The following is a 17,993-nucleotide window of genomic DNA, read 5'->3' on the forward strand; positions in this document are numbered from 1 at the left end:
TATATTTGGTAAAAGAGAAAATGAGATCCCAGAAGATATTCATCCTGAAAGAAGAGGAAAGAATGAAATTTGATTTTCTTTTCATCTAATTCTAGGGTTTAAGTGCAATAAAGGGTTAAGGAACATCCTATATGAAGCTTTAAAAGCAGATTCTTTGAAAATATTAGTAATAGGGGGTGGATTTTCAAAGATGGGATGAGAGCTTACCTTTGCAATCACATAAATGACTTGGGACAAACCATGATACATTCTAAACCCTTGCTATTCGAAGTCTGGCCTATGGATCAGCAGCATCAGCATCACTTGAGAGCTTGTTAGAAATGCAGAATCTCAGGCCCATCCCATGCCTATTGAATCAGAATCTTCATTTCAATAAGACTCCAGGTGAAATTGTATGCACAGTAACATTTGGAAGTATTGGTCTAAATAATAAGCCTTTGGCACAAGGTATTTTGCATTTTTGCTCTTTTTGCAACAGTCATTTGCTGAGGTATTCGTCTACCTTTCTAAGATCCTTTCTTTCTACTTCACTCTCCAAACCATTCTCCCCAGAAGCTTTTCTGTCTCTACTGCTGCCTGCAAGAGCTTCTCTTTTAAACAAATTTGTTTTTAGTACAGAGTCTTACTCTGTTACCTATGCTGTTGTGCAGTCATGCAATCATAGCTCACTGTAACCTCGAACTCCTGACCTCAACCAATCCTTCAGCTTCAGCCTCCCAAGTAGTTAGAACTACAGGTGGTTGCCACCCTGCCTGGCTAATTTTTAAATATTATTTTAGAGATGGGGTGTTGCTGTGTTGCCATGGCTGGCCTCAACCTCCTGGCCTTAAGAGATTCTCCTGCCTCAGCCTCCTCTGTAGCTAGGATTACAGGTGCATGCCACCAGGCCCAGCAAGAGCTGCTCTTGACTTGATTGCTTTCCACTGTCTTTTTGGCCAAAGCCATATGGAACAATTTGCATTTTCTGAATATCCTGTGTTCTTTCATGCCCTCCACCCACGTTACCCTCCATATCCCCATTTGGACCCATTTGACCTTTGGGACTCAGTGAAGCCTCCTCTCCCTTTTTACTTTATAGATATATATACACCACAGTTTATTTATCCACTCATTGGACATTTGGGTTGGTTCCACGTTTTTGCAATTGAGAATTATGCTGTTATAAACATGCATGTGCAAGTATCTTTTTCATATAATGACTTCTTTTCCTTTGGGTAGATACCCAGTAGTGGGATTACTGGATCAAATGGTAGTTCTACTTTTAGTTCTTTAAGGAATCTCCACACTGTTTTCCATAGTGGTTTTACTAGTTTACATTCCCACCAGCAGTGTAGAAGTGTTGCCTGTTCACCTCATCCACACCAACATCTATTATTATTATTATTATTTAATTATGACCATTCTTGCAGGACTAAGGTGGTATCACATTGTGGTTTTGATTTGCATTTCCCTGATCATTAGTGATGTTGAGCATTTTTTCATACGTTTGCTGGATTTATATATCTTCCTTTGAGAATTGTCTATTCATCGCCTTAGCCCAATTTTTGATGGGATCGTTTGTTTTTTTCTTGCTAATTTGTTTGAGTTCGTTGTAGATTCTGGATATTAGTCCTTTTTCAGATGTATAGATTGTGAAGATTTTCTCCCACTCTGTGGGTAGTCTGTTTAGTTTGCTAACTATTCCTTTTGCCATGCAAAAGCTCTTTAGTTTAATTAAGTCCCAGCTATTTATCTTTGTTTTCATTGCATTTGCTTTTGCATTCTTGGTCATGAAATCCTTGCCTAAGCCAATGTCTAGAAGGGTTTTTCCGATGTTATTGTCTAGAATTTTTATAGTTTCAGGTCTTAGATTTAAATCCTTGATCCACCTTGAGTTGATTTTTGTATAAGGTGAGAGATGAGGATCCAGTTTCATTCTCCTACGTGTGGCTAGTCAATTATCCCAGCACCATTTGTTGAATAGGGTGTCCTTTCCCGGCTTTATGTTTTGTTTGCTTTTTTGAAGATCAGTTGGCCATAAGTATTTGGGTTTATTTCTGGGTTCTCTTATTCTGTTCCATAGGTCTATGTGCCTATTTTTATACCAGTACCATGCTGTTTTGTTGACTATGGTCTTATAGTCGTTTGAAATCAGGTAATGTGATGCGTTCAGATTTGTTCTTTTTGCTTAGCCTTGCTTTGGCTACGCGGGCTCTTTTTTGGTTCCATATGAATTTTAGGATTTTTTTTCTAGTTCTGTGAAAAATGATAGTGGTATTTTGATGGGAATTGAGTTGAATGTGTAGATTGCTTTTGGCAGTACGGTCATTTTCACAACATTGATTCTACCCATCCGTGAGCATGGGATGTGTTTCCATTTGTTTGTGTCATCTATGATTTCCTTCAGCAGTGATTTGTAGTTTTCCTTGTCTTTCACCTCCTTGGTTTGGTATAATCCTAAGTGTTTTATTATTATTTTTTGCAGCTATCGTAAAAGTAGTTGAGTTTTTTATTTGATTCTCAGATTGGTCACTGTTGGCATATAGAAGAGTTCCTGATTTGTGTACCTTAATTTTGTATCTGGAAACTTTGCTGAATTCTTTCGTCAGTTCTAGGAGCTTTCTGGAGGAGTCTTCAGGGTTTTCTAGTTAAACAATCATATCATCAGCAAACAGTGACAGTTTGACTTTCTCTTCCAGCAACAGTTTGACTTGTCTTTTATTTCTTTCTCTTGTCTGATTGCTCTGGCTAGGACATCCAATAGTATGCTGAAGAGGTGTGGTGAGAGTAGGCATCCTTGTCTTGTTCCACTTCTCAGAGGGAATGCTTTCAACTTTTCCCCATTCAATATTATGTTGGCTGTGGGTTTGTCATAGATGGCTTTTATTACATTGAGGTATGTCCCTTGTATGCCAATTTTGCTGAGAGTTTTAGTCATAAAGTGATGCTGGATTTTATCAAATGCTTTTTCTGCATCTATTGAGATGATCATGTGATTTTTGTTTTTAATTCTGTTTATGCGGTGTATCGCATTTATTGACTTGCATAGGTTGAACCATCCCTGCATCATTGGTATGAAACCCACTTGATCATGGTGGATTATCTTTTTGATATATTGTTGGATTCAGTTAGCTAGTATTTTGTTAAGGATTTTTGCATCTATGTTCATCAGGGATTTTGGCCTGTAGTTTTCTTTTTTGGTTATGTCCTTTCCTGGTTTTGGTATTAGGGTGATACTGGCTTCATAAAATGATTTAGGGAGGATTCCTTCTTTCTCTATCTTGTGTAATAGTGTCAATAGGATTGGTACCAGTTCTTCTTTGAATGTCTGGTAGAATTCTGCTGTGATTCCTTCTGGTCTTGGACTTTTTTTTTTCTTTGTAGTTTTTAAATTACCATTTCAATCTTGCTGCTTGTTATTTGTCTGTTCAGGGTATCTAATGCTTCCTGATTTAAGTTAGGAGGATTGTATCTTCCTAGGAATTTATCCACCTCCTCTAGGTTTTCTAGTTTATGTGCATAAAGGTGGTCACAGTAGCCTTGAGTGATCTTTTGTATTTTTGTGATGTCAGTTGTAATATATCCCATTTCATTTCTAATTGAGCTTATTTGGATTCTCTCTTTTCTTTTCTTGGTTAATCTTGCTAATGGTCTATCAGTTTTATATTTTTAAAGAACCAGCTTTTTGTTTCATTTATTTAATTTATTTATTTATTTTTGTTTCAGTTTCATTTAGTTCTGCTCTGATCTTGGTTATTTCCTGTCTTCTGCTGGGTTTTGGTTTGTTTTATTTTTGTTTCTCTAGTTCCTTAAGGTATGACCTTAGATTGTCAGTTTGTGCTCTTTCAGACTTTTTGATGCAAGCGTTTAGGGCTATAAACTTTACTTTTAGCACTGCCTTTGCTGCATCCCAGAGCTCTTGATATATTGTGTCACTACTGTTGTTCAGTTCAAAGAATTTTTTAATTTCCATTTTTGACCCAATGATCATTCAGGAGCAGGTTATTTCATTTCCGTGTATTTGCGTGGTTTTGAGGGTTCCTTTTGGGGTCAATTTCCAGTTTTATTCCACTGTGATCTGAGAGAGTGCTTGATATAATTTCAAGTTCCTTAAACTTATTGAGGCTCATTTTGTGGCCTATCATATGGTCTATCTTGGAGAAAGTCCTATGTATTGATGAATAGAATGTATATTCTGCAGTTGTTGGGTAGAATGTTCTGTAAATATCCGTTAAGTCCATTTGTTCCAGGGTATAGTTTAAATCTATTGTTTCTTTTTTGACTTTCTGTCTTGATGACCTATCTAGTGTTGTCAGTGGAGTATTGAAGTACCCTACTATTATTGTGTTGCTCTCTATCTCATTTCTTAGATCTATTAGTAATTGTTTTATAAATTTGGGAACTCTAGTGTTAGGTGCATATATATTTAGGATTGTGATATTTTCCTTTTGGACAAGGCCTTTTATCAATATATAATCTCGCTCTTTGTCTTTTTTAACTGCTGTTGCTTTAATGTTTGTTTTGTCTAATAAAAGAATAGCTACTCCTACCAGCTTTTGGTGTCCATTTGCATGGAAGGTCTTATTCCACCCCTTTACCTTAAGTTTATGTGAGTTCTTTTGTGTTAGGTGAGTCTTTTGAAGGCAGCAGATAGTTGGTTGGTGAATTCTTATCCATTCTGCAATTCTGCATCTTTTAAGTGGAGCATTCAGGCTGTTTACATTCAACATTAGTATTGAGATGTGAGGTACAATTCCATTAATTGTGCCATTTGTTGCCCGTATATCTTTTTGTTGTTGTTGTTATTTGCTTGTTTGTTTTGTATTTTTGTTTTATAGGTCCCATGAGATTTATGCTGTAAAGAGGTTCTGTTTTGATGTGTTTCCAGTATTTGTTTCGAGATTTAGAGCTCCTTTTGGCAGTTCTTGTAGTGCTAGGTTGGTAGTGGCAAATTCTCTCAGCTGTTTGTCTGAAAAAGACTGTATCTTTCCTTCATTTGTGAAGCTTAGTTTCATTGGATACAAAATTCTTGGCTGATAATTGTTTTGTTTAAAAAGGCTGAATATAGGGCTTCATTCCCTTCTAGCTTGTAGGGTTTCTGCTGAGAAATCTGCTGTTAATCTGATAGGCTTTCCTTCTTAGGTTACCTGGTGCTTTTGCCTCACAGCTCTTAAGATCCTTTCCCTCGTCTTGACTTTAGACAACCTGATGACAGTGTGCCTAGGTGATGATCTTTTTGCAATGAATTTCCCAGGTGTTTGCTGAGCTTCTTTTATTTGGATGTCTACGTCTCTAGCAAGGCTGGGGAAGTTTTCCTCAATTATTCTCCTAAATGTATTTTCTAAACTTTCAGATTTCTCTTCTTCCTCAAGAATGCCAATTGTTCTTAGGTTTGGTCATTTGACATAATCCCAGACTTCTTGAAGGCTTTGTTCATATTTTCTTACTCTTTTTAGTTTGCCTTTGTTGGATTGGGTTAATGCAAAAACCTTGTCTTTGAGCTCTGATGTTCCTTCTTTTGCTTGTTCTATTCTATTGCTGAGAATTTCCAGAGCATTTTACATTTCTATAAGTGCATCCATTGTTTCCTGAAGTTTTGATTGTTTTTCATTTATGCTGTCTATTTTATTGAAAATTTCTCCCCTCATTTCTGGTATCTTTTTTTGACTTCCTTAAATTGGGCTTCACCTTTCTCTGTTATCTCCTTGATTAGCTTAATAACTAACCTTTTGAATTCTTTTTCAGGTAAATCGGGGATTTCTTCTTGGTTTGGATCCATTGTTGGTGAGCTAGTGTGGTTTTTGAGGGGTGTTAAAGAACCTAGTTTTGTCATATTACTGAGAGTTGGTTTTCTGGTTCCTTTTCATTTGTGTAGGCTCTGTCAGCGGGAAGGTCTAAGGCTGAAGGCTGTTGTTCAGATTCTGTTGTCCCACAGGGTGTTTCCTTGATGCAGTACTCCCTGCACTTGTCCTAGGGATGTGGCTTCCTGAGAGCCAAGCTGTAGTGTTATCTCTGTTCTGGATCTAGCCGCCCAGCAAGTCTACCAGGCTCTGAGCTGGTACTGGGGGTCGTCTGCACGGAGTCCTGTGATGTGAACTCTCTGTGGGTCTCTCAGCAATGGATACCAGCACCTGTTAGTATTTGGAGGGTCTTCCGGGTCCTGCAGGAGCAATCTGTTTCTTTCAGAGGGTCTGTGGGTTCTCTTGGCTTCCCTGATTTATTCCTGCAGTTATTCTGGAACAAAAGTTCATAAGGCGAGCCTCCACAAGCTGCTCTGTCTGTCTGAGTGGGAACTGCATTCTAGTCCTGCCTCCTGTCTGCCATGATCTTCCCAAAGTACAAATGGCTTTTCTGGTGCTCTGTTTGGGGGCCCTAATTTATTGATTTGTAATAAGTGATACAGCTTCTGCAGAAAAAGTACCCGAACAGTGTCAGGTGGTCTCACATTTGACAAGTACCATTCAGATGACTCTGAAATACTTCAGAAGTATTATAATATGGGTAAACTGTAGGGGGATGTCCCAGTCTCTATGGGAATCCATGACAATGGCCTGTTTTATGATCTTAAATCAAATTGAAGACTTTGCAATTTCTCCATATGTAACCTGCTTGTTTCCCTTCTATGGATAACAACCTCTGAAAACTTTCTAGAAAGAAGTCCAAGTGGTCATTGAAAATCCCTCTGGAAGATTTTTAATGTTGGGACACATGAATTGTAGGGGAAGATCATTTCTGCCAAGTCTTACTAGGAATTCTGGTCAGATTTTTTTTCTTCAATTGTTGCAAAAACTTGCTGATTTTTATGGGATATTGCTTTAGGAAAATGTGGAAGATTTAAAAGTAGAAATATCTTGGAGGAGAATGGAGTTTAAGGAGGTAGAAAGTAGATTCAACATTTTGTGTAATATTGTTTAAAATAGAGAATCTATGAAGATAAGATTACCATTCACGTTCCGGATATTGGGTTAGAATTTTGAAAGTCCATGAATCTTTGAGCAATCAAAATGAAGAGAAAAACAGATCATTGAAAAATGTCTGTATGAGCAGAAGTAAAATTTTTATTTGAATGTTCCTCATGAAGCACTTATTCAAAAGATGTGGAGACATAAGACAAAAAGAAAACTTAATATAGGATAGCAAACAGGTAGCCGAGGAACAGTAAAAACTGTAACTCTTGGTTTCTGTTGCTGATATAATGGTATTTGTAGGTAGCTTAAAAAGTGATGATCAGATATGGTGGATACAATATTTTTTAAAAAGTAATGTTAAAGGCATAGATGAGCTGGCAAGACTGTAAAGAAAACCTTGGAGGAAAGCAGAAATCCAGCGAGGGGAAGGAGCACTAGAGTAGGTAGTTGTCCTGGAAGCCAGAGCTTAGGTTTTCAAGAGCTCCAGTGAGGGATGAGTGACTAAGTCAAGCGCATGTCTAAGGTGGGAAGTATGATCCACTATCAATTTTAGAAAGCCTGGACCCCTTAAAATTGAGTGAATGGTGGGGACCACCTCCTAGAGAAAGGAAGTGAGTAAACTTGTTTATCTTTTTCTCTGGCCTATGTTGGGGAAATAATAAATAGATATAATTTCACAAGCAGAAGCCTGCCTTCATGTGGATTGGGAACATTATTTATACCGTCGAAGCTGATAATTTACTGTAAAATGGTCTACATGTGGAGGTGCCTCCAGGGGTACAGTGGAGGTCAATGTGAACTCTGTTTGAAGAAACCCACCCAAACTTAGGTCTAAAAGAATTATCATTCCAGGAAACACATGCAAGATTAAAACATATATGAGGAAAGAAACCACCATTAGAAAGTTAGCAGAAACAATAAAGACCAAAGCTATTAAAATTGTTGGATAAATATAAAAAATAACTGTATGAGATACACTTAAATAATTAAAGAGACCATTAAAAATATAACCAAGCAAACAAGAAAAGACTATAAAAAGTACCAAGCTAATTTTAAAACGAACCAAATACAATTTCTAGAACTAAAAATATAGTAATTAAATTAGATAAGCAATGGGTTAAGCCAATTAGGACCAAAAAAAAGAAAAAATGATGCAACAGAAACTCCAGCTGAAGAGACTATTATGCTTCTTAGACAAAGATTAGAAATGCGAAAAATATGAGGGATTAATAAGTTTACACGTATGTCTACTGGATATTTCAGACAAACGATAGAGAAAAGCCAATATCTGAAGTGATAATGTCTGATAATCTTCCAGAACTGTAGAATAACAGGTCACATAAAATGTGGGAAGTTACACAAATCCTAAGAAGTAAAAATTTAAAAAAAGTTCTACTTGAAATAAGTCGGAAATGCTGCCAGTGTAATGGTTAAGAGTACAGACTCTGAAGCCAGACTGCCTCGATTCAAATCTAGGCTCTATCACTAGCGAACTAATTGCCTGAGTTTCCTCATCTATAAAATGGAAATAACAATACAAGTTGAGCATCCCTAAGCCGAAAGTTCGAAATACTCAAAAATTGGAAGCTTTTTGAGCACCAGAAGTGGAAAATTTCACACCTGACCTCATGTGTTGGGTTGTAGACAAAATGCAGTCAAAACTTTGTTTCATGTACTTCATGCACAAAATTGTTTAGAATATTGTACAAAATTACCTTCCGGCTATTTGTATAAGGTATATGTGAAACATAAATGAACTTAAATGAACATAAGTGAAATAATATATCATTATGTAAGTGCAAATATTTCCAAATCCGAAAATATCTGAAATCAAAAACACTTCAGGTCCCAAGCATTTTGGATAAGGGATACTCGACCTACAATAGTACCTACTTCATAGTATGGACATGAAAATTAAATGACAATGTATATAGATATAGCCAAAAATAGTCCCTGGCACATTGTAACACTGTAAAAAAAGCTTTAACTGCTTGTTATTGCTATTACTTATAGAGGGACTTCTCTAGAGCACAGTGAGGCCAGAGGAGAGTGGAATGTTTCTACACATTTCTAAAAGAAAATAACTGTAGGCTGGGCACCGTGGCTCACATCTGTAATCCCAGCACTTGGAAGGCCAAGTGGGGAGGATCAGTTGAGGCCAGGAGTTCAAGATCAGGCTGGGAAACATAGCAAGACCCCATCTCTACAAAAAAAAGAAGAAAGAAAGGAAAAGAATTATACACCCAGTAAAATCACCTCTTTTGAACAAGGTCGAATTAAAGTCATTTTGAGATTAAAAAAAAAAAGACCTTACCACCAACATCTTTTTATTTGCTTGTTTATTTAAACGTTTATTTTAAGTTGAGGGGTACAGGTGCAGGTTTGTTATAATAGTAAATTATATGTCATTGGGGTTGTGTGTACAGATGTTTTTGTTACCCAGGTAATAAGCATAGTACCCGATAGTTAGTTTTTTGATTCTTACCTCCTCCTGTCCTTCACCTGGTGGAGGCCCTGGTGTCTGTTGTTCTTTTCTTTTTGTCCATGTACCGTCAACATCGTACTAAAGAAACTTCTAGAAAAAGTGCATTAGGAAGAAAGAATATCGTCCCATAACGAAACCCCCATTATGTAAGAATAAATATTAAAAATATCAGTATATCTAAATAAATAGAAACTGTATAAAATAATAATAAATGTTTAACATGTAGAGCTAAAAAAAAATAAGCAGAAATAGCATATTATTTGTCTATGGAGTGGTGGTATCATTATAATGAAAGCATTATAAAGTCTTAGTATTCCAAGAGAATGCAAAGACATGGACTTAACTTAAATATTAATGTTAATATTTATAGAAAATCATTAAAGAATGGGAATCAAATTTATAATTTTTATACTAATAGAAAAAATAAAATGGAACACATTTTTAAATTGAGGCAGGAAAGAACACTATCAGAAAAAAACAAATAAACCCAAATGATAAGATTGAAGAAATGATAACATGGACTAAATATATCACAATTCACAATAAGAGTAAATAGGTTACACCTTCTAGTTAAAAGATAATGACTATCATACCGAATTAAAAAATAAAATCCAGTTTGGTTATGTTTTCCCTAAAGGGACACCTAAAATATGAAGTCATTCCACCAGAAGTGTTTAAAATTAAAAGATTAACAAAAATATATACCAGGAAAATACAGCTTAAGAGAAAGCTGATGAAGAGAAAGTAATTAATATCAGACACAATAAACTTTAAGGAGGTGGATAATGATGAATGATGTAATTCACTGGGAAGCTTTAACCATTCTAGGTGTATATCGACTTAGAAACAGAGATTTATTTCATCAAAAGGAAATTCTGGTTAAACTACAAGAAGTTGCTAAATTCACCACCATTGTGAGAAATTTGATACATATTTCTATTACAGTAATTAAAAGATCAAAAGACAAAAATTGCAAAGTATATAGAACCAAACAATACCACCAACACATTTGGTAAAATGAATCTATATAAGAACATTGCTCAACAACTGGCAAATATGCATTCTTTCCAAGCACACAGAAAATTTATGAAAAGTGACCATGTGCTAGGACAGAAAAGTCTGGTATCATACATTCTATACTCTTACAATTAAGTTAGAGAAATGCATACTTGTAAGTTTAAAAACTCCTCAAATAATTTCTGCATCATAGAATTAATATAATGGAAGATACTTGGAATCGAATGATTAACAAGACTAAATATCAAAACTTGAAGAAAAGCTGTACTTAGAGGAAAATGTATTACCTGAGTGCTCATATTGATGAAAGGTAGAGATTAATGAACTGATCAAATTTGAGAAATTAAAAACAGGAACAGCAGAATAAGTCTTAAGAAACTAGGTCAAAGGAAATAAAATATCAGGTTGAAAATTAATGAAACAGAAAACATCGATCAACAATTGAGATTGGTTCTCTGAAGAAACTTTGAAAAGGAACAAAATTCTGGCTGCCTGTATTAAGAACAGAAGACGGATCATATTAGGAATGGAAAAGAGGACATAACTGGAGACAGTGAGTGTTAAAGGGGCTTAGAGGAGACCACACAGCATTTTAACTCAGAGCATAGGTTTGGGGGTCAAAGAGATTTGGTTTTGAATCCTAGATCTGCTGCGTTCCAGCAATGTGATCTCAGGCCAGTCTCGTGACCTCAGCACCTCATTAGAACAATGGCAAAGCTTGTGAATATAAAATGAAACAGAAAGTAAAGTACTTGGCACATTAAAAACAGGAAAAATTAGCTATACATTTTATTGTGATTTTTTATTCTTGGCATTAGAGTTCAGTACTCCTGGGCAGCTTTACTGGTTTTTTGATGTATAAGTAGGGCACCAAGAGCAAGAAACAGAGCTGGACAGAGACTGGAGGACATTTCATGGGGGTCAAATGTGAGTGGAGGCCTAGGAAGTGATACACAAGGCCTGAGCAAGTCTCGTAAGTGGAAAAGCCACAGGCTAGAGAGTATGTTTTTTAACATCAAAAGCTTTGAACACACACAGAGAACACCCACATTTCTCCCTCTGTGTACTCCCCAAACACATTCACTAGTACAAGCCTCTGCGCTGGGGACTGCTGCTACAGAAGGATTAGATTAAAGCAATAACACAGGAAGAAAATCAGGCCAGACCACATTTCCATATTAAAATTTAGAATACAAATTTTGGTGTTTTCAATGGTCTAGGCCATAGAGAAGTTGTTTATACCCTCCGTCCCCCATCAAACTGAATTTTACTTTATTCCACCTAGAGAAGAACCTGGCCTTGTTTAAACACCTAAAAAAAATCTAAGGGCTCAAGAATATTGTGATTCTTCACATTCCTGTGTTTTAACCCTCAGGCACTAAATAAGTATTTGATATCAAATACTCTAAATAAGTATTTGATATCAAATACTCTAAATAAGTATTTGATATCAAATACTCTAAATAAGTATTTGATATCAAATACTCTAAATAAGTATTTGATATCAAATACTCTAAATAAGTATTTGATATCAAATACTCTAAATAAGTATTTGATAAATGAGGGCAGCAATGAATAACCTGAACACTGATAGTACCAGATCTTGGACATTTTGTGAATATGTGCATATGGCAAGTCAGGGTAGAGTATGCCAGGCTTTCTCAAATGTGTGAACCTTCAGTGAGGTCTGAGCAGCATTCAGTCCTTCAGTATCCAGTAATCCTGTCTTCGTGAATTAACACCAGCTTCCCAGATCAATTTCTGACTGGGTGCTTTACATGAGAATCCATCTAGGTTGCACTGCTGCCTTTAGAAACAATCTGGAATTCTGAGGAGCCCAGAACATTTATAATTTCTCTCAAGGGAGACGCTTCCCAGCAGCACAGTGCCAGAAGAAGATACACATCCATGGGCCCACCTCTGGCTTCAGCAGGGCTTTGTCCAGCTAAGCTCTGAGAAAGATGGTTTAAAAAAAAAAAAACAGAGAAGCCCAGCTGTCTTCACCTAGGGTCCCCTGCTTAGTAACCTTCCCAACAGGGGCTACACAACCTTCTTCACTGGCTGCTTGTTTCTCTGAGTGTCGTGCCTGGAGATTCCTCCAAAAAAACGTATCCCAAACCTGGGCTGCCTAGGCCTCTGTCATTAGGAAGTCCAGGAGCCCTCAGATACCAGAAGCCTGGTGTTTTGAGGGATGGCTCAGAGCTTTGCCCCTGCTGGTCCTGGCAGCCTTTATAGCTGGAGATTGCAGTTCAATGCAAAGGGAGCCATTTGACAGTGTTTGCACCTTATCATTTCCAAAGAGTCTCTGCTCTTGAGATAGTTGGTGCTCTCAGCTGTCTGTCAAGTTCAAGAACTTTTTGTCTTAAGAATATCTGAGTGTTGGGCCTGAGGAAACTAAAGGAAACTCACCACAAGAGACATTATTTGTGGGGCTCAATTTTCCCCAGGGTTGTATCTTTCTGCTATTCTTTTGTACCATGTCAGTCTGGGGACATAATTGGCCCTCTTCCTGTGGAACTGGTTCTTAAAGTTCTTTATAATTCTGGCCTGGAGCTGCTGGGAGGTCTCTGTTTTGGTGAAACCGCTGTTCCATGGTGAATCAGTCACTTCCTCCAGGCTGCCTTCTTTCTGTCCTGCCACGAGGTCAGGGACACTGCCATTTGGGGACAGTCTGGGCTTTCATCTATATTTCGTCTGGCATGGGAAACTGGATGGACACTCCAGTCTGAACAAATAGACCCAAGGGGATTGTTGAAGCTGACCCTTGGAGGGGATTTCAGTTCTTTATTATAAACTGTTATATAAAATATATTTATCCTCCTACCTTGAGAAATATACCCTCATAGTGACAAAAAGCAAAGGATATATGTAAAGCTACAGTTTTTATATGTCTGAAGGCTGGCAAAATGTCTGCTAAAGTTATTATGGCATACATCTGGCTTTTCTGTCTATGGGTTGTGATGGTTGAATGAGTAATAAAATGTATACGTAACTTATAAATTTGTATTTGTTCCATCAGTTAAGTTTTCTTGCCTTTATTTCAGAAAAAGTACTTTGTTGTTATAATCAATATGTTTACATAATTTGTTTTCAACTCATTGTAATTCTCTGAAGGCTTTAAAAATTGCAATTATATTCAAAGTATATTTAAACATATTTTAATGAGAATATATAAATTGAATAGAAAAACAATCTAAAAGTTATTTTATATGTTTATTAAAGTCTTTTAAAATATTCAAAATGATCTATTAACTTTAAAAGGTAAAATCCAAGTTATAATTAATATATGCCAAAATTTCATTTCATATATGAACATTTTAATTAAATCTTGTTTTTATAGAGATAACACTATTCACATTGTAAATGTTCTATATCCACCTAGTTACCAATATAAAGAATTGGTACCATGATACACATATGATGCATGCATGCAAATTTAAGGGTAATATGAAATGTTAATATTACAACATGTTCCTAAATCACCATCTGCAACTTTTCTGAATATTATGTTAATTGAGTAGCATGGGAACCAGGAATGTGAACAAGAAGAGAAGCATGAAAAAGGATTCTTGGCATTATTGAGAAATGACACTTTGTTGTAAAAGAATCTATTGCATTTATGTTATCTTCAGGGAGGAATTTGGTAAGTTTTGTTCTTCTCATAACCCAGCACTATTTTTCTCTTACGTCCTCCAAGAATTCTGAAGCAACATCATCATAATCCCTGATTTTTATCAACTTTCAAATTAGGTCATCTTTTCTTTTAAGGATACAGGGAAGAGATACAGAGGCACACTTCCCTAGGACCTGAGCAGTGTGGTCATGAGAGTGATGTTAAGTGTTATAGACTATGCTGGGCCAGCTCTGAGTGCCACATCCTGAGTGATAAAGGCATCTGTGTGCTCTTTAATACATTTATTTGTGGGTGATTGTGGTATGTGGAGCCCTCTAAAATATCTCTTGCCCAGATCTATGAAAAGTACTTTATATATCACCCATCCAAATGTATACATCACATTCTCCGGGAGAAACTACTGCTAACATTTTGGAATATTTCCTTCCAGTTATTTTCTGTCCCTTGATTTCACATAGGATAATATACTTTACATACAGTCTTGTATCTTACTTTCTTGATAAAGTTACCAGTGGAAAGAGATCTTCACTGACTGACCACTTGGTACAGGAATTCCTGTCAGATGGGTCAACAAGCCTTACAGAACTAAATTCTTTAAACTTGGGGGCAAATGTTTCCCGGTCATGGAGGCTTATACCATCGGTGTTGGAGGAAGGATTACGTTGTTTTCCTAATGGATATGGCAGAAATTAAACATAAGAAGCATTCAAAACAATTAAATAAAGATCCAGAAATATAGCCGAGGCACAGTGTTAGAGGCAGTAGAGGATATTCAAAGAAATACAAGACAGTTTCTGTCTCTCTAGAGGCTTGCTTACAAACAACTAGGCTGGCTTTGTTCTCAGCAACAAGATGACTGATAGCTAAACTCTAAGAAGAAGGATGAATAGGCCATTGCAATGGATTAGCCTGTTCTGGATTAGTTCAAATTTACAGCAGAAAGTTGGGATTTTTAGAGATAATATGGTCCTAGAAACTACTTTGGAAAATGGCATGGCTTTGTCCATTTCCTTTGTGTTAGTAAGGCTAACTACCATTTACTGAGGATATTATGGACTAAATAAGTACTTCATAGGCATTATGTCATTTGAATTTTCATTTAAATTTAAAATTTAAATACTCGTTATTTAATTATTTCATTTGATCAATAACTCCATGAGAAAGGTCTTATTTACTCCCACTTTTAAAAGGGAAAGCTGAAAAGTGAAGAGGTTTAGTAGCTGGCTTTATGCCACATGGGTAAGAAGTGGTAGAGAAAGAACTATTTCCAGAGGCTGCTGCTATCTAATATTAAGATATAACAGGGAAAAAACTCTGTTCCTCATCACAGCAGAAGTGGAAAGACTCTTCTGTTGTCAGGTTAGTCAATAATAGTCATATTTGTTAGGATGGGTAAGGTTGTGCTGCAGTAGCAACAAACCATCAAACCTCAGATGCTTAACCCAACAAAAGCATTTTCTCACTCACCCTACATGTCCATATTGCATCAGCTACAGACTCTACTGGGCTCTATTTTCACTCTGGAACCAGCCTGTTGGAGAAGTCACTGTCTGAAACATTGTCAGTTGTGATGACAGAGGGAAAGAGCACTAGAATATGTATTAACAATTAAATGCTTCTAATCATAATTCATCTGTCTGAACTTGTCATGTGACCCACCCAGCCACACAGAAAGCTAGGAAGTATAGTTCTACCATGTGCCTTGAAGACAGAGAGCCAGGGATATCTGGTATCAGCATGTTTACTTCAATAGATGTGGGCACCATATGACCAGACTTCCATCTCTGCTATTGATATGCTGCTAGCAAGTTCTTTCTGCTGGGGCCAGATTGTAGAGGTCACCCGAATGGCAGCCAGGCAGGCAAGAACAATCTTCACAGTGCACCAAGGATGGTGGGGGGCTCAGTGGAGCAGTGGAAAGAGTCAGGGACCTATGAAGAAGAATGATAAATGCTGTGGGCCAGGAATCATTTGATTACACTTCATGCATATTAACTTATTCAATCTTCACAACAACCCTATAGGGTAGATCCAATCATCCCCATTTTAGAGATGAGAAAACTGAGGTATAACTGTTAAGTAAGTTCCCCAAAAAAAGATAGCTAGTAAGTGGCAATGTGGGATGCAATCGCTGGCAGAATAGGTCCAGAGGTTATGCCCTACAGAGTGTACTCATGTAGCCACTGAGTACATTCTCCTTCCTGCCTGTGGTCGCTGCTCAGAAAGGAATCTGAAAATCATATGCCTGTTTTCAACTTCATCTTCACCACAATGACTTTAACTCTCTATAGAGTGAAGTTCTTTTTCAAAGGCACATCAAACTATGGCATCTCTCTAACTGTGAAGATGAATGAGAAGCTCTTCATGTGAACCAGAGAAGAGAGCCAGAAACCATAAGGTAAAATGCTAAGTGTGGCTACATGTGTCTCACTCTAAGTCAGTAAATACCTGAAGAGAATCACAGGCATGGCTTTATGGATTTGAATTATCTGTGTGTGTATAAACCTTGTTGATTCAGACTCCACTGGAAAGTGTAAACACATCAGTGCCATAACCATTATGAACAGAAAAGGCATGGCCACAAGTAGATACAGAAGCCAGCATGGAATTGACAAGAAGTTATTCCACTCACTTACCAAAAAGCGCCTCCCAAATCCTAACTCTTCCGAATGACTCAATTTCACTGGCATCACTGGGTGCCTTAAAAATCCTCTCACCATACAGAAAAGTTACCCATTTATATCCATTTATATCTTTGTTCCATTACCTTGCCCACTTCTTTTTTCTTGAGGTGGAGCTGTAAATATTAGATTTCATGATTCAAGTCTCTGGAATCCAACTTTCTAAATTGTCTTACCCTGGTGGAAATGGGAACACCATATCCTACAGTCAGCTGTTATTCCTGTTGAGACTGACAAAAAGCATTTATTAAGTGCCTCATAGTATATAGCACTGACATGGGTGCTGCCAAAGTGTCAGGCCTGTGCACTATGCCATGTTCAGCTCAAACAAACTTTGAGGTCCTCCAAATACACAGCGAAGTAAATGTTTTGCCAGTTTTGAACATTTGCCACCAAATTACTTACAAGACAAGGTCATTGCTTATTAAGTCTAGGCAAAATTTTTTAAGTCAGAATGACCAGTGTTAACCCATTACCAACTATATTGGTTTCCTATTGCTACTGTAACAAATCTCCATAAACTTAGTGGCTTAAAACAAGGCAAATTGATTCTCTTACAGTTCTGGAGGTCAGAAGCCTAAAACATGGATGTTAGCAGGACTGCATTCCTTCTCAAGGCTTCAGGGGATTCCTTGACTTTTTCAGCATCTAGAAGCCCCTCCCTCAATCCCTCCTCTTGCTTTGATCTTCCCAACTCCTCCTACTCACTCTGAGCCTCCTGCCTCCATTTATAAAGGCCCTTGTGATTGCTTTGGGCCCACCTAAATAACCCAAGCTAATCTTCCCATCTCTACATTCTTTTTTTTTTTTTTTTTTTTTTTTGAGGTGGAGTCTCACTCTATTGCCCAGGCTGGAGTGCAGTGGTGCGATCTCGGCTCACTGCAACCTTGGCCTCCTGGGTTCAAGTGATTATCCTACCTCAGCCTCCCAAGTAGCTGGGACTACAGGCGCATGCCACCATGCCCTGTATTTTCTGTATTCTTAATAGAGACAGGGTTTCACTATGTTGGCCAGGTTGGTCTTGAACTCCTGAACTTGTGATCTGTCCACCTCGGCCTTGCAAAGTGCTGGGATTACAGGCATGAGCCACTACGCCTGGCCTCCCATCTCTGCATTCTTAATCATATCTGCAAAATCTCTTTTACTCTGTAAGCCAACATGTTCACAGTGTACATGGATTATAATGTGGACTTTTTGTGGGGGGTAAGGGGGACATTGTTTAGCTTACCACAGCCACCAAGGTTTTTCTGATATGTGATAAGCTGTATAACACTTTATTCTAAAAATCA

The 17,993-nt window shown here is 37.3% G+C and overlaps 1 protein-coding gene and 1 long non-coding RNA gene across 7 annotated transcripts in view; one reads left to right on the forward strand and one right to left on the reverse strand.

The window, feature by feature from the left end:
* The window catches only part of LOC105375411 (uncharacterized), a 59,097-nt gene that overhangs the window by 17,913 nt on the left and 23,191 nt on the right, over positions 1-17,993 (forward strand). The window lies entirely within an intron of this gene.
* Positions 13,592-17,993, reverse strand: part of SEM1 (SEM1 26S proteasome subunit) — a 228,221-nt gene continuing 223,819 nt past the window's right edge. For 5 of the 6 annotated variants that reach the window (NR_163951.1, NR_163953.1, NR_163950.1 and 2 more), the window contains one exon: positions 13,592-15,954. The gene's annotated coding sequence lies outside the window, so the exon portion shown is untranslated. Of the gene's footprint in view, positions 15,955-16,790; positions 16,821-17,993 lie in introns of all 6 variants that reach the window. The other variant, NR_163948.1, reaches the window with a different exon arrangement.

The sequence above is a fragment of the Homo sapiens genome, chromosome 7 (genome assembly GCF_000001405.40).
Source record: "Homo sapiens chromosome 7, GRCh38.p14 Primary Assembly".
Lineage (NCBI taxonomy): Eukaryota > Metazoa > Chordata > Mammalia > Primates > Hominidae > Homo > Homo sapiens.